A 21,389-nucleotide genomic window follows, 5' to 3' on the forward strand; every position below is an offset into this window, starting at 1 on the left:
AGTGATAGCCAGAAGACTGACAGCAAAGAAAGCCATTCGCCACCAGATAACGACAGAGATTGCAGAGGAACGTGCCAGAGATTTCTTAGAGCCTTAGGGTGTGTGGTTTTAAAATATCCAGAATAGTTCTGCTACATATTCAGAATTTGCCAGACCTCAGCTTTAAGACAATAAATCATTTGCTTAAGGAAAATCTCTTTCTGTCACATTCTCACAATTCACACGTAAGTTTCCTGTCTGCCTCCTCACTATAGGAAAATCTTTAGCTTCTAATCTAAGCCACTACTTCTTCAGACCTTAGGATTCAAGGGAAGAAGAAAGCTGTGGAACTCAGGAGACAAGACAGGGTCATGCAAGGAAGGCTTCTTGCTTGAAGAGAGGTCTAATAAGTCCCAAGGTGGCCTCTTTGCCGAAGTACAGATTCTATCTACACATCGGAACTAGAACATATTTGCCAAGTCAGACCAAGGTTTTTCCAGGAACTTTAGGGTTAAGCATTAGGTGGATGTGCACCAAAAATACTGGGGCAGCACAATAATTCATGTACGTAGTCAAGTAATATTTATTTATTGAGTACCTGCTACATAGAAGAACCAACTGTAGGTACTGCCTGGAATACAAAGTTATATAAGACAGACCTCTGCCTTCAAGACATTTATAATTTAGCTAAGAAGATGAGATACACACAAAAGAGAGTTAAACTGAAGAAGATAAATACTATCTGATCCCAGGGAAAAGCATAAAGATGATAAATGCTCTAAAGCAGCACCATCCAATGAAAATGTAATGTAAGCTGCACATGTAATTTTGTATGTCCCAGTAGCCATGTTAAAATGCTGTTAAAGAGGGTTGGGCACGGTGGCTCACGTCTGTAATCCCAGCATTTTGGGAGGCTGAGGAGGGTGGTTCACTTGAGGTCAGGAGATCAAGACCATCCTGGCTAACACAGTGAATCCCTGTCCCCACTAAAAATACAAAAAAATTAGTCAGGCATGGTGGCATGCACCTGTAATCCCAGCTACTCGGGAAGCTGAGGCAGGAGAATTGCTTGAACCCAGGAGGCAGAGGTTGCAGTGTGCCGAGATTGCGCCACTGCACTCCAGCCCGGGCAACTGAGCAAGATTCCATCTCAAAAAAACAAAACAAACAAACAAACAAAAAAAAAACATGCTATCAAAATAAAATTCATTGAGGTATCTTTGTGTATGTGTATTCTAAGTCTTCGAAATCCTTACACTTACTGCACTGGACACCTTTCAAGTACTTTGAAGCCATACCTGGAGAGTGGCTACACGATTGGACAGCACATACCCAAGATATTAAGAACAGGCTTCCTTGGTAACATGGAGCCTTTGTTGGATGGAAAAACAAATTAACTTGTCTTCTTAGAACCAGCTGCCATAGAGGTCAGCGCAACCTAATCAGGCACTGATTCCAACAAAACTACCCTGCATTTACCAAATATACTGATGAAAGTAACACAGTCCTTGGAATTTGGTTGATTTAGGTTGGAATCTCACAGGCAGAACTTTTTTCTCGGGAACCGTATTCATAAGTGAGTAGTTTAATAATGGGTTGACTCAGCAGGTCTGCGGTATTCAAGCCAAGCATGTTCCAAGAGAGTGTCTGGTCTTTGACTGGCTGCTGGGAAATAATATCTAAGCCCTTACAATATTCTGCCTGATAGGAGTGTCTCTCTCTCTTGACCTGAGATCTTTGATCCATGCCAGATAGTCTACACTAACAATGCAGTTTACAGTGGGGACCTGTGGCCAGGCTGCATCTGGTTGACTTCAGGAAGGGCTGGAGTCTGAGTAACTAAGGTCAGCCATGCAAGCATTCCATGCTTTTGTGATCAACCCTCAATAAATCCCTGGACACCAAGGCTACATTGCATTTCTTTGGTTGGCAATATTCCATTCATTTTGCCAAATGTCATTTCTGGGAGAATACAGTGCTGTCCTTATGACTGCACCGGGAGAGAACAATCTTTCCCAAGCTTTTCTGAGCTCAGGATTTATACACAGTCTTTCCTAAGCTTTGCCCCACATGCCTTTTATGGGTGCTAACTTTAATCTACATCTACCCCATCACTGTAATCAACCCTAACTGCAAGTATAAATGCTTTTCTGAGTTCTGTGAGTCCTTCTAGAAAATCATTGAACCTGACAGTGGTACTGGAGACCACCAACTCAAAGCTTCTCCCTCTTGTGATGATAAGCACAGTAAACACAATAATAAAACCTGTATAAATATCCCTGGACACAGATGTGTTAGTTTGGAAGAGTCAGAAATATATAGAAATCACTGTCTCACTTTATCAGGGCATTATGGTACCTGCTTATCTAGGAAGAGATCCAGTTCCCTCCAATAGCATCAGAATCTCTTAGGCAGCAATCTTTAGCTTTTACAAAGGGTAAATTCCTTCCTAGGATCAAGCTTGAAACTTCTTTACATGAGTTATAATAGGCATGTGGCTAGAAACTAGACAAATGCCACTCATGATCCAGTTCCCTCCAATAGCATCAAATCTCTTAGGCAGCCAGCCTGTACCTTTTCCAAAGGGTAAATTCCTTCCTAGAATCAAGCTTTCTATGAGTTGTAATAGATATGTGGCTAGAAACTAGACAAATGCCACTTATGATATAATTAGTGCATTTCATTGTTATCTTTCTTCACATATTTTATAGCCCCCACCGTTTTTTTTTCAAAATTAACATAAGAAGTTTATTGCCTTATGTATTCTTACTTTGTACTGTCTCACAGAAACCAGTACATTACCAACAAATTAAGAAAAAATAATAGACATTCCATTCCATTTTTCATTATTTTATTGAGCAATTAACACTGTTATTCAATGAAGAAAGCCAAAATGCAATCTGGTTTGCATAAATATTTCAACAGAGTGGGACAGAAGAAAAGTCAGATCCCACATCATGAGTGTCCCCAGTTCATTGTGAAATACACCCACACAGATGAAGACATATTCTTCGTCTATGGTGTCCCCATGGACTTCCAGACATATGGACTAGCTAAAAACTTTTGGAAGCCAATCAAATCTCAAGTCTCAAAGCTGTACTCTACTTGCATTGGCTTTCTCTGTCTGCAAGGGTCTAGAGACCAAGGCACTCTACCTTTAGCCTTCACTCTTTCTCAGACTCCGCTGCTTTTCACTTCTCTCTCATCGTTCATTCAAGGAGACCCCCTTAGCCTTGCTATAACACTGATTCTCATTTCTCCATGTTGATATCAGGATTCCATCCTGTCTGAATTATCTTCCTATGTACTCCCTGTTTACTCAAATTCTAATGAATGTAACAGGTCGGGGGGGTTACTTAAGAGTAGGGTATAAGTTTACTAATATCTGTGTTCTCTTATCTAGTGAAATAGTCTTCAATGCATGTGTTAAAAGGAACATGGGTCATATCAAAGCAGCATGCAGTCCTACATGTCATCTGTATTCTTCCTTAATAACCTCACTAACCTCCCTCCTTTCCAGGCCACCAGACACTACCAATCTGATATATCTTTTTATTTTATTTTATTTTTTAATTTGTATCTATCTATCCATCTATCTAGCTATCTAGCTATCTAGCTAGCTAGCTATCGTCTATCTATCTAGAGATCAGTTTATGGCGCTGGCTAATTTTTGTATTTTTCGTAAAAACAGGATTTTGCTATGTTGCCCAGGCTGATCTTGAATTCCCAGGCTCAAGAGATCCACTGGCCTCTGCCTCCCAAAGTGCTGGAATTACAGGCATGAGCCACCATACCTGGCCCAATTTGATATACCTTGACTAGTGATTGTGTTCGAGAAGCACTTATGAACTATATTCTATCATTCTTCTAATCATTTTACATGGGATTGTTTATATCCAAATAATATTGTGAATTTAGTGAAAGAGGTCATCTTTAACATTTATGAAATATAAGTATTAGTCTCTAGGCTCTAAAAGAGGGATTGGCAAACTATGGCCTATGGGCCCAATCTATCCCATCACCTGTTTTTGTTAATAAAGTTTTATCAGAACACAGCCATGCCCATTGTTTACATATGTTCTATGGCTGGATTTGTGCTACACTGGCAGAGTTGAGTTCAGACTATTTGACCTGCAAGGGCCAAAATATTTACTATCTTACCTTTTACAGAATAAAACTATACCAACCCCTGCTCTAGAAAATCATAGAGTAAAAGGCTCAACAAATATGTATTACAGATAATTAAACATGCTAAGCATAGTGTTTTAGAAATGAAAGAAAGAACAAAAGAAGAAGGAAGGAAAGGAAAGGAAGGAAAGGAAAGGAAAGGAAAGGAAAGGAAAGGAAGGAAGGAAAGGAAAGGAAAGGAAAGGAAAGGAAAGGAAAGGAAAGGAAAGGAAAGGAAAGGAAAGGAGGGAAAGGAAGGGAAAGGAAGGGAAGGGAAAGGAAAGGAAAGGAAAGGAAAGGAAAGGAAAGGAAAGGAAAGGAAGGAAAGGGAAGGGAAGGGAAGGGAAGCAAAGGAAAGGAAAGGAAAGGAGGGAAAGGAAGGGAAGGGAAGGGAAGGGAAAGGAAGGAAAGGAAAGGAAATGAAAGGAAAGGAAAGGGAAGGAAAGGAAAGGAAAGGAAAGGAAAGGAAAGGAAAGGAAGGGAAAGAAAGGAAGGAAAGGAAGGAAAGAAAGACAATTTTAAAGTAAGAAGGAACCACCTCTGGGCATATCTACTCATACCTCTTCCCTAAGACTCCAGAAGAGTAGAGGGTCTTGCTGAAATTCACCCAGCTAGATATCAATGTGGATTAGCTTAGAAAGAGCCCCTAATCGTTCACCAGATATCATATATCTGGTTTATCATATATCACATGGCATCAATAAGGAGGAGCACTTCCACAATATTGCATCCCATAGTTTTATATGGCATTTAATATCTTCCGGTGAAAATGATAAGGACATGCAGGAAATCATTACCCTCTTCACAAGTTGAGTATTTTCTACACTTTCACACAAAATCGTTTTGAAACTCCAGCTAATTACTATACTTCCATTTCCTCTGAGGGAAAAAATAAAATAAAAAGCAAACCTTCTGGAATTCCTAGCACAGCCTATTAGTTAATATTATCTACAGTCCCATAAAGTCACTGGCCTCACCCCCAGGCTTGCTTTGGTATCAGCAGCCCCAAGTCAAACACCAAAGATGTTAAACTTTAAAAAAAGAAAAAGCACGTGTTAAAAAAAAAAAAAAAGAAACAAAAGCTGACATTTATGGTTTCAGGGTTTTTATTTCCAACAGAGGTGGATTTCTGCCACGGCCCAGCAACCCCCAGAGAGCTCAGCATGCCACACCTCCAAATCACCAGCCTCTGCAAAGACAGGTTCATAAGGCAATGAGGAAAATAAATGTCCTTCCATTGGCTTTGCCCTTTTTGGTGTATTTTGGCCAATCTCTTCATGCTTTCATTTCAAGGTACTAACCTGCCAAGACCCATAAGCCAGGGGGTATAATAGTCACTCTTGTTTCCCAGCGTGGGACGAAGCCATCACATGGACAAACTAGAAAGCTGTATTTACAGCCCCACTGACTTCCTGGGAGAGAGTTGTGAATTCAATGTCACAGTCTCATTTCTAATCTTGTTTCCAATTTTTCTTGACATGTTTATATTCTCATTTCCTGATGTGTGCCAAACAGCTTCAGAGACCCTTCCTGCTCTGGGCCCAGTTTTCATGGTGTTTGTCATGGTGAACTTTAATTATTTGCTTGACCCCATTAATGTTTCTTCACTAGACCGTCTGCTCCCAGGCACGTGACAGCTGTTTGTTCATTCAAGCCTTCGGGCAGCAAACGTGTACCTACTCTGTGCCTGGTCCTGCTGTAGACACTACAGACGCTGCAGGAAAACAAGTAGAGAAGGCTGTTCCTCTCATTGAATGCTTATCCGAATGAGGGAGGCAGAATCAATGAAATAAGGAGTGCCATGATGTAACTAAAACAGAGTAACTTTGTAGAGTGTGACTTAGAGCAACATGGTAGAGTCTGTGAGGAAGGCCAGTCTGTGCAGGTAACATTTAAGCTGAGACTGGAATGACAAGAAAAAGCCACATAGAGGTCTAGGCAAAGGGCATTCCAAGAGAGGGAGTTGTCTGGGGAAAGGCCCTAAGCTGATGATGATCCAGGGCAAATTAAGCAAGAGAAGCAGGACAGGAGTGTAACGAGAGACAGGAGAGGAGAGGTGTGAGGGAGGTAGGGCCACTGCATGCATTATCTTGCAAGTAGAGGTAAAAAGCTTTGGATTTTATTCTATGGGAGAGGTTGGCAAACTTGTTGCAAAGGTCTGGATAGTATTTTAGGCTTTGTGGGAATATAGTCTCTGTCATAACTACTCAACTCTGCCTTTGCCACCACAGACAAGAGTGGGTGTGGCTGGGTTCCACTAAGACAATATTCACAACGACAAGTGGGAGGCTGATTCAGCTTGCAGCTATAGTTTTGCCAACCCTTGTCTATGGCACTAGGAAGCCAAGGTATGTATATGGAACAGTCAAGGGGGAGGCATGAGCTGCGTGGCATTTTTTAAAAACTCTTAGGACTGTAGCATGGGGAATGGTCTGCAGAGGATGGAGAATGCAGGAAATGGGATAGACCACAGTGGTCTAGAGAAGATGGAGGAAAGGAGGCAGATATGGGAAGCATTTTGAACTAATTGATTAGGGAAATAAGGAAACGTGAGAAACTGAGGATAACACCCGAGATTTTCACTAGAACAGCTCAATCTATGGGGTGATTTCTGAGACAGGAGAGATGGAGAAAAAGTAAATTTGGGGAACAATCCAATAGTTCTTTCCTGGATGTCTACGCGGAGGTCTTCACTAGAAATTGCAATGGAGAGGTGAGTAAGGTGGGAACAGAGAAGTCCTGGAGCTCAGAGGGGCTGGGCAGAAGATAAAGGTTTGGTAGCCCTCAACATAAAGATGTCATTTAATACGGTGCTAGAGGTGACATCGAGGTGAGGAACGACAGAAGGAGAAGAAAATGGCCACTCATTACTGAGAGTTGGAAGAAAGATGTGTGGAGTGTTCTGCATTAGAACAAATGAATGCATGCAGAAATGAATGAATAAAGCCCACATCCCTGCATTAGGAGGGTCATCTTATTCCTCTCTATCTACAACCTCTATAGTTCACTGTAGAATTTCAGAGCGATGGCTATGACGATTTTGATCTTAGAATCAATTTGATTATTTAACGCCATCCCTGATACATAACCCATTTATCTTCATACAGGCTTTTAAGGACTTCCCAATTGGATTCTGTTTCTACTGACATCCATATAAATTGGAACCTGCTCCTTCCCTTCAATTCTTTCCCCAGAAGTGAGAGCTGATAGCCCCAGGTAAGTCCCCAGCCCCCACTGAAGACGCATTTCTTCTCTGAGGGTTACCTTGAGAGACAGAGGCTCTGTTGGTTATGATTAGATGGTTTACTAACATAATTGTGAACATAATTTGTTCTGATCTGCTTCTGCCTTCCAGTCAACCCACGTTCCGTATATTAGAAGAAGAAAGGGTTGGTGTGTGTGCATGTGCGTGCACACACACAAGTGAAGAGTGTTTAGTTCTGCCTGTCTGTGCCTCAGGGAATGGAATGTAACAGATGTTACAGTAACACACATTTTTTGCTTTAAGAAAAGGATGAAGGAGGTGGAGTGGGCCAACTTGTAGACACTTTGGATTCCAAATCAAACCAGAAAAAAAAGAAAAGGCTGCACACAGTTAGAAGAAAGTGCAAGCGGAAAAGAACCCCCACCAAGTTCAAAGGGACTTGTGTTTAATCAGACAAAAACAATTTTTATAGCCTCGGGAGCCCGTGTGGTGTGTGAGGAAGTTGTGCAGCAGGATGGCATTAGGCACTCAAGCCAGCATGCTTTTGTGTTATTTTCTTCTTTCTTTGTTTGCAACCGGGGTTCAAAGAAATTCACTGTGCAAAACAGATACTGAAGTAGATCATACCCACGAATTAACATTGTCATGACAAGCAGCTCTGTGTTATGAGCAAAATTACAAGTGACCCATCAAATAAAGCAGTTATTGTCTAAGTAAGAGCTCCTTTCTTCCAGGATTCCACCGTGTTGCTAGCTTTGTCTCTTCCACTGAAACGCTCATGCACCTGATATGAACTCCAAGCAGCCTCCTGAACATATTCAGTGAGCCTGACTTCAAGAGAAAGCCCCGAACGATGAGGAATTACCAGCTTGCAAGACATAGAGAACCCATTCCTTCTGAAAAATCATTTTCCTTCCTGAGCCCATTCACACAGGGCTTTGACTGTTTCCTACCTGAAGGTCACATGCATGGCCAAATCTCCATCTCATTAATTACAACTCTTGGCAAGCCATTAAAAATCTCATTTCATTTTACCATCCAACCTCCTTTTAACTGACTTTTCATAATTATAATTCTATTTTTGATATACTGGACCTATTAAATTTAATGCCATACAGAGATTTTAGAACTCCTTAAAAAAAGACTCAAATTGGACTGTGTCCACCAAAGGATGTGTAGTCCTTGCTTAGGAATATGAAAGGGGAAAACTGCAGTGCATTCTATTTTCATCCACAGAGGAAGAAAAGTCAAGCTAATTGCATATGGTCAGTATAATAATGCTGTCATTCTAGAAGGGCTATAATTAGCGAGAATTGTTTTCACAAACAACCGACCAAGCCCATGACTCCAGCTTGCATTAGTTCTTTTTTCCCCACCAGTTATAAACATTTCTATTTTTGCTCCTCCCCAAACATAAACATTACTCCATTAAAAATACCCAGGGAGAGGAGATCCTGACAGTATAACTGCAAACTCTGGGAATAGACATAAGCCTTTTTGCAAATGTTGAGTCTGTTAAAAGGATTAGAGTGCCAAGAGAGGGTTGGAGGAACTATTATCCAACAAGCTAAACTTTACCTGGTAACATCAAGGCGGGAAGCCCCAGGTGAGGCACCTCTCCTGGACAGAGAGGAGTGAGCACTCCAAAGCCCCATGTGAAGATGAGGGGCCATTGGGATCTTTCACATCTGAAGATATATAAGGCAAAACTTACTTAGCTCCACGTCATGTCGTACAGTATGGATGAATAACTATGGACAAAATTCTCTCTCACTTTAAACTACAGTTATTTAACAAACATTATTTGGACAGGAATTATGATCAGTGCATTTTCCAGTGCTGAAATTCAACTAAGAAACAGGGATTGTTGAATTTTGTCACACTAGACTGAGACAGTGGATCATCTGGAGTATCTAGCACTGATTCTCTCCCCAACATATGTTCAGAGTCCTGTTGCTCCAGCTTCTATAACACACTTTCTTCTGTCCCCACTGCTTTTTGTTTGGACCCTCCATACCTCTCATTCCATCACTGGTTGTCCACCTATGCCAAGTCTGTTCCTTGGTGCCTGGGCGCTCCAGTCAGCATCTCTAACATGAAACCTCAATAAGACCAAAGCCACTAAGAACCACACTGGCTCCATTTTACCTTCAAACCCATTTTCAGTGCTGTCCCTTGTGCAATTTTGGTTCTAACTGTAGTGAGTGCTTTTGGTCCAGGGACCACCCAGAGCTCCCTTGACTTCCCTTTCCTTACCTGGTGGTCTGACGCCTGTCGTTCTGACTCCAGCTGGGATGACAGCTGCCACAGAACCTCTCTGTGCATCTCCTTCAACAAGAGGAAGGGTCTTCCCTGTGCACACAGTGTCCAGACCTTGCCTCTCAGGTCCTATGCTGCAGCGTTCAATTTGTCTATTGACACATCCATCTTTCCACTAAATGGCAGGTGCGCTGCTATGTCCTACACTCCCAGTGCCTAATGCAAAGGCTGCCCTGATGCAGGCACTTGATAAAGATGTGATTCAATGAATGAATGGATGTGGGTTCAAAGAGTGGCTGAATGAATAAATGTCAAACACATTGATGAATGAATGAACATAAGTCATTCAGTGCACCCTCTATGTTGAAAGAAACGAAGCTGGAAAATAAGACAAAGCTTGGGATGCTAGGAGAGAGTTCTTTGAACTACATTTGGAGCATACCTGTCCTCTATGCTATGACAAATATGCCTGGAATCTAGAAAAGGAGGCTCTAGGTTGAGGCATTGAGGTACATGATGAGATAATTTTCTCTCAAAATTTTTTGATTCAAGGAGCAAAGCACTGGTTCAGACCCTCTTGCAAAGACAGTAGGATGTGGGGCTATGGAAAAACTCAAAGTGAAAAAGGTGAGCACATACATGTTAATTAGGGCTCAGTCCATTTCCTCTCCTAGACAGGCCCCCAGATCCTCAGCAGCAGCACCCAAACCAGACACATACACACTCACGGACACACACACAAAGCAGGAATACCACAGTAGCAGCTCCTCCCCCCACCAGCTAGAGGCTGCAGAATATGAGAACCTGGCCTTTGCAGTGTAACAGGCCAGGAATCTAGCCTCTGCTCTGTTCCATAAGCACCATGGGTTCATGGACTAGTTAATTAAATTCCTTAGTTTTTTTCCTCAGCTACATAAAAGGGGAAAAATAGTCACTTTATACAATTTTATAAAGACTGAATGGCATACTGTATGTAAGGCACTCAGTAAGCATTTGTTGTTGGATTGCTATTGTGAGGCATTGTTGAACTTGACATTGCTATGCTCAGCTTGGCTTGGTGTTTATCCAGTAGATTCCCTTTATAACATAATGGCCAGAATAAAGGAATGGCCAGAGAAGGAATTTCCTAGCATAACCAGACTGAAGCTGAGTTGATGATAGGTTAGACATCTATGGAATCTGAAATGAGTCAGTCCTTCCTTTCCTGAAGGTCATGATGTAACTTTTGCACCTATAATAACTATTCCCCTACAGCTGATTTTGCTGGTTTTTAAGTCAAAATTTAACCAATTCCAATTAATTCCGTCTTTATATTTGCCACCACTCCATGTTGGCTTGTTAGGCAATTAAGTATTCAAATTAGAGTAACTCTCAAATATTTCCTTGCAGAGGAAAAACAAAGAAACAAAAAACTATGAAAAAAATTACCCTTTAAAGGCAAAATGTCCATCCAGTTTTGAAGATTAAGAACCACTGGGGCAGAAGAGGGAGAATGACCTAGAATTCAGAACTGCAATGATAAAATTATTCCTTTGACAACACTAGGTGGCTGATTCTCCTAAGGTTGTCTAATAGATTTAAAAATTTTTGCTATCCTTGTTTTATGGAAATATAATGAGAAATATAGACATGGTTTTGTTTAGTTTTTAAATTCAAGATAAACAAGAATTTCAACTGTGACATTATCTCTCAGCAATAGCCTTTGAATCTCTTGTGTTGTTCAATGAACTACTCACTAGATGAACCACTGGCCTTTGCAGGTATTAACCTCTGCAGTAGGTCATCCTACTTCATCTGTACTGTTAGTAAATTAATCAAAAGCTAGCATCAGGTATGCACACACCTGCAGAGATAATGTGTACAGTGTTCTCCAGAGGGATGGGATTTGATTCTGTAGGTGACACTGATGGAATACAGCAGTCAGGGTCTTAAGAAATTGGATAGATTAAATATATCACAAAAGAGACATTTTAATAGTCTAAAAATCAGTAAAGGTGTTTTTCAAAATACATATAATTGAGAAAATATACACTACCCTAAAGAGAGAGTAGATTATGAGATAGAGATGCAGGAAAGAACTATCTCAATTGTGTCCCCCAAAGCAAATAAATTTTTATTAAGTCCAGTACCTTGCTTTTTAAAACAACACGATAGCTTACAAAAGAAATGAAGCTTTAGTACACACTCTTGGAAATACCTTTTCAGATGATGGTGAAAATAATAAAACTGCAATGAAAATAATGACACCCATAATAGGACACACTGGGTGCATACAATATTCTCGGCACTAGGCTGAGCAACACAGTGGGTATTTTACATACACATTCCTGAATCCTTGAAAAATCCATGAAGCCATGTATTAGTACTTACATTATTCATGCAAGAAAACTAGAACTCTAAGGAAAAGCAAGAAACACAAACGATTCTTTTCATTTTATAATTTTCTTTATCAGTCTGTGATTTATCTTTTGAATGCCTGATTTTCTATCTTCTTCATCCTAGGGGAGAGAGTATTAAGTTCTTTAACAGCAAAGGATTAAAAACATAGTCATTCTCTCCACCAAGATCTATAAAGTATTTTTTAGGGGCATAACAATAAATAAGACAGAAATCTTGCCCTTTAAAAACTCAAGTCTGGCCAGGCGCAGTGGCACATGCCTGATATCCCAGCACTTTGGGAGGCCGAGGCAGGCAGACCACCTGAGGTCAAGAGTTCGAGACCAGCCTGGCCAACATGGTAAAACGCTGTCTCTACTAAAAATACGAAAATTAGCCGGGCAAGTTGGTGGGCGCCTGTAATCCCAGCTACTCGGGAGGCTGTGGCACGAGAATCACTTGAACCCAGGAGGCAGAGGTTGCAGTGAGGCAAGATCATGCCACTGCACTCCAGCCTGGGCAACAAAGCGAGACTCTGTCTCAAAAAAAAAAAAAAAATTGCAAACAACAACAACAACAAAAACTCAATTCTATGCAGCATCACATACTTTCTTCCTTAAAAATAAGACAAAGACATGGTTCTGTTATACAGAAAGGAGGGAAAGTGATGAAAATTATACCAGCATTACCGCCATTTTTTCTGTGAGGTAGGACTGAGTCACATATATTTTTATATGTTGTGAGTTCTAGATAAATACTTAATAAATGTCTTACTCTGGGTTTAAATGTGAGTTAATCTGTTCCTCCCTATGCATCACCTTCTAAGAGATTTCCTCAGCATTTTCATCCACCTCATAATGCTCTTTCTCACTACGTCTATACTCTGTCTCATCCACATCATGATCTTTTGCTCTGACCATATTGATGCTACTAGGTTGGTGCAAAAGTAATTGCTCTTTACCTATGTATCTCTTTAAACACTTTCAAGTCTGTTGGGAGTTGGTCTATTTTGCGGATCTAGGGTCCAAATTCTGTCACTGATTGTTCTGCTGATGCGCTTAGTTCCATTCATTGTTTCATTAGTGGGTACCCTTTGACTTGAGTTCACCATCACCAAGAAGCTGTGTTTACAAGAGCCCCAAATCCAGAACTGAGAACACTGCCATGGGCATGAACACTAGAGGGCGCTCTCAAACTCGAAGATTTGGTGTTAAGGCCCCTGCTGGCAAGGAAGGTTCTTATTTGGGTACCTCGTGGGAACCTAGAAAGCAGGCTTGAGGCCCCAGTTTCGTCTTCATGAGACAATGTCCACCCACAGCCATCTTCCTCTTCTCGTCTTGGGGGGTGAATCTGCGGTTCTTTTGCGTTTTCCTTTTGCAGGTAGAACAGCTCACTGTAGCTTCCGGATTCAGTTTCTGGCCTCCCTGCTCATCAGGCTCAAGCCTCACCTGCTTCTCCCATCCCTGAGCATGTTTATAAGCCCCAGCCCCCAGAGGCATTTCAACTTGGGTTCCTACTGAGGATTCCAGACTTGACCTCTCTTTTTTATTTCTGTCCCCTGGAACTGTCCCTTTCTTGCTTTGGGGACGCTATTTTTTAAATGCCATTATATGAGGGTAAGAGATTTCAACCATCAACTCGGCCTACTGTTTTGCTGGAAATCTTACAAAAGAACTATCTTCTGTATGTTTTCACCTCAATTCCAGAGTAACTAGAAATACTACCCTACGAGGGCAGAGACACTTAGTTTGAATGCGATTCCAATGTTTTCATGCTGATAAATATGAACATTTTAAATCTTAAGGGAAGATAGGTAGTTTTAAGTCCGTCCTTTCAATTTTACACCTGCATTTAAAAATATAATTTAAACTACTATTTAACCATTAATTATATCCCAAAAAAAGAGGATATGAAAACCCGAGTGAACACAGTTAATGTACTTGCCCCCATGGTTTTGAAACCCAGCCCACACACTTCCCAAACTCTGTAGTATGCTCTCATGTCTAGATGAATATCAAATGTAAGATGATTTCTATGGTTAGGAGCTGAGTTGAAAGCAGAAACTCTTTAGTCTTCAACTACAAGTTTCATTTTTTTATGTGCAAAAGTGTCTATCTGCAAATGCACAAATGAGAAACAACAGACTGGCTGAAACCATTCAGCACCACACCTGGCTCCTAGGGAGTGTTCAGGATTTCTCAGCGACTGCCTCACCTCAGCATAATATTTGTAATGCGTCTTACTTTTTACTTTTGAGTTTATTTCTTTGAATAGGGTCAGGAAAATCCATTAATTAAAGATTCCAGGACTCTAAAGTACATTTCAAAAAAGCAGAATTGTTCATGAGATCTTATAACCATCCTAGGTTCTTCGGATATTACTTTGTGTGGTTATGTGGCCAGAGGAGTTTGGTCTCAGACTATAAAAGGCATAAGTCTTTCTAATCTGTTCATAACCAAATATAGCACACAGGAAATCACTGCAAAGCGCTGATATAATCTTTTCTGTTTTACTCCATCTGAAGATGGTTCCTGCCTGAACCATGCACACTAATCATTTAATGTTCTACAGAAGAAAAGAACAAACAGAGCAGGGAGGCAGATGTGGCCACATACTGGATCTACACTTAAAACAGTGAATGGCTGCTACCCCCACCTCCTGCAGTAGGTAAGGGGGGGTCATAATTACATGGTGGGGTAGGAATGGGTCAAAAGCAAATTGCCTGAGTGAGAGAAGTTCTAGAAGGTCACATGGTGAGACTGGCTGAAAAGTACCTCCAGAACTAGCAAATGTTTTCACTTGGCTTGAAGTCACAGAAAGAGCATTGCAGCATAATAGAATTACACATCCTTTGGGAGATATCCTTCTCTCACTTGGAGTGTGAAATTCTTGGTGATATCAACCGAAGCTCCACATAGTTATGGAGGTAAAGGAAACTGGAGGCTTTGAGAATTACAAAACATACCACAGATGGAATATTATCCAACTATATTTCTTGCCTCCCCTAAACATCAGTTACACGGTTCTGTCAAGAGACTCAGAGCTGCCAAGGGTCAGTTGCTCAGTTGTAGCAAAAACTATTTTCAATTCATGGAATGGCATGACTAAATCAAAGAAAAATAAAATAAAAAGGCATTTCAAGTGGCCAGAAAACATGGGGCATATGGAAGTAGGCAGGCGATGAGGCAGGATGTTCATGGGAGAAGCACAGTATTTCATTAGCTCCTTTAAAAAATGTTGCTGAAGAAACCTGGGGTGCTCAAATTTGGCTCAGAAGGAAGGGGAAGTCTTAAATAAGTATAGTAATGATAAACACATGCAAAGTTCACTATAATCTTCCCACTCTTTCTTTCCTTGCTAAGTTAATTTTTCTTATAGCAGGCATCTTTAACAACCATGTAAATTTATTATTTTCATATGTTCTTTCTTTATTCTCTCTAAATTCCAAAGATTGCCCTTAAGAGCTTTCAAAATCTGAATTAAATCAGAGAAGACATTGAACAATTTTGTGCAGACACCTTTGAGAGTGAAGAACTATATCTTATAAATGGTGTGAATAATGCCTTTGGCCCTTAATACAAACTTATTTTATAGCCCTGAATGTAATTCCTACTACATATCTATATTAGTCAGGCTTCACAGGTCTAGATGAAATTCTTTTCATCTAATATTTTCACTGAAGGAGCATAGCTTTTATTCACAAGGAACATCCTAATAGGATTTTAAAGCTTTTCCCAATGAGAGATGGCTTGCTTTTATCATGCTCCTTGAGGAGAAAAAAGCTTAAGAGGTTTCAAATAAACAGCTTATCAATATCAAATATTATTTAATCAGACCAAAGACATAGTTAGATTAAAATTATAAGAAGGACAAATTATTGTGCACCAGCTTTCATAATTTTTAATTATAATTTCTACAATTTTATAACGTGAGTTATTTGAAAACATACTTAGCTATTCCTAAAGAGAGTCAAATTCCCATTGTTCATCTCAAAAGTCATAAAAAGCACCAACAGATCCTTCCATTCTCCCAAACTTGTTGTGACTCATATTTTTGAATTTCGAGTCATTCAATGTCTTCTAAAATACAAAAAATATATTAAAATGAGGAATTATTTATTTTCTTCTTTGTATCTCAGAATTGATTGGGAATAATTTGCAAGGGTTGAGTTTTCTGTTTCTTGTCAAAAGAGTTTCTGTTCAGCTATTTAATAAAACATGTATTGAGTACTCATTGTTCAGAAAGAGCCCTTATGTAAAGCACAAGGTGGAGTATACATTTTATTTACTCACCAGGGTTTTATCACAGGGGAGACAGACATATTCCACAACACATATATAAGGATACCCATTTCTGTGGGCAGATGCATTAGAAAATATACAGAACTGACAACACAGCTGAGGAGAAAGCTAAACTACCGTAGTACGGATCTTCCTTGCTAACAGAACCTGATTTTGTTAAACAACCAGGGCTGGAGCAAGGGCAAGGCTAGTAAGTACCTCATTTGGAGTGTAAAATTTCAGGGGATCAAAAAATTTCAGTAATCAAGATAAATAATATTTTAATATAATATTTTTCAAGGTCTAGATTAATGCAAAAATCCAGGAGGAGCAAACCATCAACATTTTGAATAAAGACCCTGGAGCCCCAATGGGGCTCGGCAGGAGACTGTACTGATCCTGTCTTTATTTAAAATCTAGAGTGCTGTTCATCATTGCTTGATTTTTTTGCATTCAGATAGCTTTTTAAAATATTGCATTAGTATATTATTTATCTTGATTACTGAGTGTTTCAGCACCATTTAAATAGTGTACCCAAGATGAGTTCCTCACTCACCTAATCCTGGTCCCAGGCCTGCTGGACTCAGGACATAAATGGTGGTTTTTTTCCATTCTCCCTTGCCAGACACTTCCTTTTCAATTACACCTAGAGGCAGCCACACAAATAGCTCTGGCCATTCATATGCAAACAATTCTGCACATGGCTTCATGTAAGATTTGGCTTTTGTTGTTGATTTCTGATACTAAGCAGAGAGCAAAGAAGCTGGTTGCCCCCACCCTCCCACTACTGCCTGTCTCTGAACACTGCCAGCAGCCATCCTAACATGAAATAAAAACCAAGGGCAAGAGCCAACCCCGTGAGGATTATTGAGCAAAATGACAGCACTTGGGTCCTTGCTGCCACTGTTGAGCTCTGAACCAGCCCTGCACTGCTTACTCTTTGCATCTAGTTAGGAGACAATGAACATCCTTATGATATAAACCACAATTAGACTAACTATCTATTACCTGAAGTCAAAATATTTCTAATGGATATTCTAGCTTAATAGCCAGTGAGCTTTCGGGGTAAGGGTTTCTAAACTTTACTGCACTGATGACTTAAAACATGTATGTTAATATTTCATCTCTGAATCATTTGCTTCTAGGTAGTGAAGCAGTGCAAATTCTCAATTGGAATATGGCTGTAATCTCTTTATATGGCAATTAATTGTGGAAATGTATGCAAATTGGAGGTCAAACCATCATTCAAATAAAATATACTGATTTTTTCCTACTAAATATTTGTGACAAAAATGCCAGTGTCAATAATGTCAACAGAAATCTCCATTTTTATTTTGCTCCTGCAATAAAGAATTCTTTTTTTTTTTTTTTAGATGGAGTCTCGCTCTGTCGCCCAGGCTGAAGTGCAGTGGTGCGATCTCGGCTCACTGCAAGCTCTGCCTCCCGGGTTCACGCCATTCTCCTGCGTCAGCTTCCCAAGTCGCTGGGACTACAGGTGCCCACCACCACGCCCAGCTAAGTTTTTGTATTTTTAGTAAAGACGGGGTTTCACCGTGTTAGCTAGGACGGTCTCCATCTCCTGACCTCATGATCCGTCCGCCTTAGCCTCCCAAAGTGCTGGGATTACAGGCGTGAGCCACCGCTCCCAGCCACAATAAAGAATTCTATTGTGTTGTTGTTTGAGGATGAAGAAAGGAGGGAATTTTCCTGAAGAGATAAAGAATGTCCCAAATGTCCCTTATGTTCCCTTATTTCCCTAGTTTCAAGAGCAATAGAATCAATGTGGTAGGAACCTTAGATATAGTAGCCCTATGGGCTCATTTTTCACTTGAAGAAATTGAGATGAAAATGGAACACAATAGATTTTCTATACATCAGAGAAGCAGTTAACAGCAGATTCACAACAATTGCACAGGTTTCCTTTCCTAGTCTGGTATTCTTTAAACATGAACCATGATGCTTTCCAAAAAATTGACTCAGAGAGGAGGCCAAGGCACATGAGTCTCTGAGCAGAACAGCCTACATCGATCTTCGTTAAGTGATGCTGGAAGGCAAAGGTCTATAATTATGCTATCCAATATAGTAGACACTGGCAATAAATGACTACATTTTAATTTAACTAATTAAAATTAAATACAATTAAAACGTATTACTTTAGAAGTAACATTTCAATCCTCAACAGCTACACATGGCTAATGGCTACCATATTTGTCAATACAGAATATGAGCATTTCTATCATCATAGAAAGTTCTATTGGCCAGCACTGCTTTATAGCCATGAGTTCTCTTATTGTTCTGTTTCTAATTGTAGGAACAGGAAGAAAGGAAGGATCACCTATAGAAAACTCACCCTGAAAAGGTAAAAGAAGAATTGCATGCATTACTACAAAAGCTACTCAGGCTAAATATGTATCTCTCTTATTTCCTCTCCATGGTTAATATAATATCTATTATTCCAAAAAGTATTTTTATCACTTAAATTCAAAAGCAATCTGAAAATCAACAATTCTCAAATGTGATGGCACCTCTGAAAGTGGTATACTCAGAAATTTTCCTCCAGACTGCCTTTGGGAGTTAAATAAATTAACTTTCTTATGCCAAGTTAACATGAACTTAGCCCTTAAAATAACTTTGTGAGGAAAACTTTACTGATAAAACAGTCTGATATAGTCTGGTTGTTTCTTCTCTCCAAATCTCATGTTGGCATGTGGTCCCCAATGTTGAGGGTGGGGCCTAGTGGGCTGTGCTTGGAGAATGGGGGAAGATCCCTCATGAATGATTTGGGGCCCTCTTTGCCGAAATGAGTTCATGTAACATCTGGTTGTTAAAAAAGAGTCTGGGACATCTGCCCTGTCTCTCTTGCTCCCGCTCTTGGCATGTGATATGCCCATACCCCCTTCTCCTTCTGCCATGAGTAAAAGCTTTCTGAGGCCTCACCAGAAGTCAAGTAGATGTTGGTGCCATGCTTGTACAGCCTGCAGAACTGTTAGTCAAATAAACCTCTTGTCTTTATAAATTACCCACTCTCAGATATTCCTTTACAGTAATGCAAAATGAACTAAGTCACAGTCTATGGTGGGTTTTCATTAAAGATAATCTTGGATTTCAAGTAATTTGCTGAAACATGTACACACACATACACACACCTAGGTCTTATTAAATGTTACATAACACATTATTCAGAATTATCTTTCACATTGTAAAGTTCTCACATAATGCTTGGACGTGATGCCCAAAAATATGTGGCATTGTATCCTAACAAACTCAGGCTATTTCTAAAGCAATATGATTACTGGATTTGACACTCTCGACAAGTTTATGCATCCTCATTTGAGTTGGGACTAACGTAATTTCAAAAATTGGTTTCATAGAGGTATTATTTAGGTAGAATAATATTTACTCATTTAAATGTAAAATTTAATGACTTTTAACAAATGTATAAAACCTGTCACCACCTCTTCATCTTGATATAGAATATTTGCAGCAACTCAAAAAATCTCTCGTACACCTTGCAGTCAATTTCTTCCTTGACCCTATATCCAGGCAGCCATTAATAGGTATTCTGCTGCTACAATTCTATCTTCCACAGAATGTCACATAATGAGATAATGAATACATATTCTTTTGTATCTAGACTCTTTCATTTAGCATGATACTCTGAGATTTCATCTAGCTTGCTATCTGTATTTGTAGTTTGTTTCCTTTTTATTGCCCAGTAGTTCTCCATTTTACATAATTAATTTATTCATTTCCATTGATGAACTTTTGGGTTGTTTCCAGTTTGGAGTTTTTAAGAATAAAGCTTCTATAAACCCTTGGATACAAATCTTTCTGTAGACATTATTCAATATTATGTTACTGTTGGGAAAATACCTAGGAGTGAATTTTCTGGGACTTATTGTAAGTATATGTTTAACTTTTGAAGAAATGTCACATTTCCCAAGTGGCTGAATCATTATGCATCATCATCCTGCATTATTAACAACAAAACAAGAGGTCCAGTTGTGCCATATCCTTGCCAACACTTGGTATTGTCAGCCTTTCTAATTTTAGTCAGTCTGCAGTGTGTGTGGAGGTATCTCACTATGCAGTTATGTCTAAATTGCTAGTCCATTTTTAAAAATTAGATTGTTTTCTTAAGTTGTAAGACTTTATATATGCTGGACACAAGACCACATATATATATGGTAAATATGTGTATCTCTGTGTGTGTGTGTATGTATGTCAAATATTTTGCAAATATTCCCACACAGTGTATGGCTTGCTTATCCATTTTCTTAATGGTGTCTTCGAAGAGAAAATGCTTTTCATTTGAATGTGGTCCAATTTATCAAATTTTCTGGTATGTGCTTTTCATATTCTAGCTAAAAAATCTTTCCTAATTCAAAGTTTTGGAAATATTTCTTATATGTTTTCTTCCAGAGGTTTTTAAATTTTTGCTCTTAACCTTAGGTCTGTCATCCCTATCAGGTAATTGTTGTATATTGTGTGAAGCAATATTTAGAGTTTACTTTTTGCAGAGAGATATACCATTTTTCCAGTACCACTTGTTGAAGACTACTATTTTCTCATTGATTTACCATAGCCTCTTCACTAAAAGTTAATTGACAATATATATGTATATGTGGGCCTATTTCTGATCTCTGCTTTCTGTTCATTGCCTTATAGTTTTCCTCATGCAATTACATCATTGTTTTGAGTTCTTGTAGTGTAGGTCTTCCAACATTTCCCTGCAGAACAAACCAAAAAAAAAAAAATGGCAGTGCAGGAGCTTAGAGGCATACCTGGTTATCATTATGAAAGTTCCATCGCTGATGGAACATGTGTGATTAGATGAACCCCTTCCTTCACTTAACCCATTCCCTGCCTTATATTTTTCCTCAACCCTTATCACTATGTAACCAATTCTACTACATGTCTATATCTTATTATTGTCTGACTCTCCTAATAAAATGTAAACTCAGTGTGGGCCAGGATTTATTTCTGTTTTACTTCCTGGGGTAACCCTAGTAACTAAAACAATTTCTGGCACATAATAAGCACTCAATAAATATTGACTGAATTATTAATGAACTGGGCCTCTGCTTTCATCTTTAAACAAGTAATTCTCTGTGCTGAAGCCA

General features: G+C 39.5%; 1 protein-coding gene across 10 annotated transcripts in view, besides 2 other annotated features; it reads right to left on the reverse strand.

Annotated features, from left to right (window-relative positions):
* The window catches only part of SEMA5A (semaphorin 5A), a 511,043-nt gene that overhangs the window by 313,738 nt on the left and 175,916 nt on the right, over positions 1-21,389 (reverse strand). The gene's annotated exons all lie outside the window — the stretch shown is intronic.
* Positions 13,050-13,099: a silencer, noted in NCBI's record as "silent region_15909". NCBI's record gives its function as "represses an Ori minimal core promoter by ATAC-STARR-seq in GM12878 lymphoblastoid cells {active_cell/tissue: GM12878}" and the evidence as "EXISTENCE:reporter gene assay evidence [ECO:0000049][PMID:35858748]".
* Positions 14,572-14,771: an enhancer, noted in NCBI's record as "active region_22349". NCBI's record gives its function as "activates an Ori minimal core promoter by ATAC-STARR-seq in GM12878 lymphoblastoid cells {active_cell/tissue: GM12878}" and the evidence as "EXISTENCE:reporter gene assay evidence [ECO:0000049][PMID:35858748]".

The sequence above is a fragment of the Homo sapiens genome, chromosome 5 (assembly GCF_000001405.40).
Source record: "Homo sapiens chromosome 5, GRCh38.p14 Primary Assembly".
Classification (NCBI taxonomy): Eukaryota; Metazoa; Chordata; class Mammalia; order Primates; family Hominidae; genus Homo; species Homo sapiens.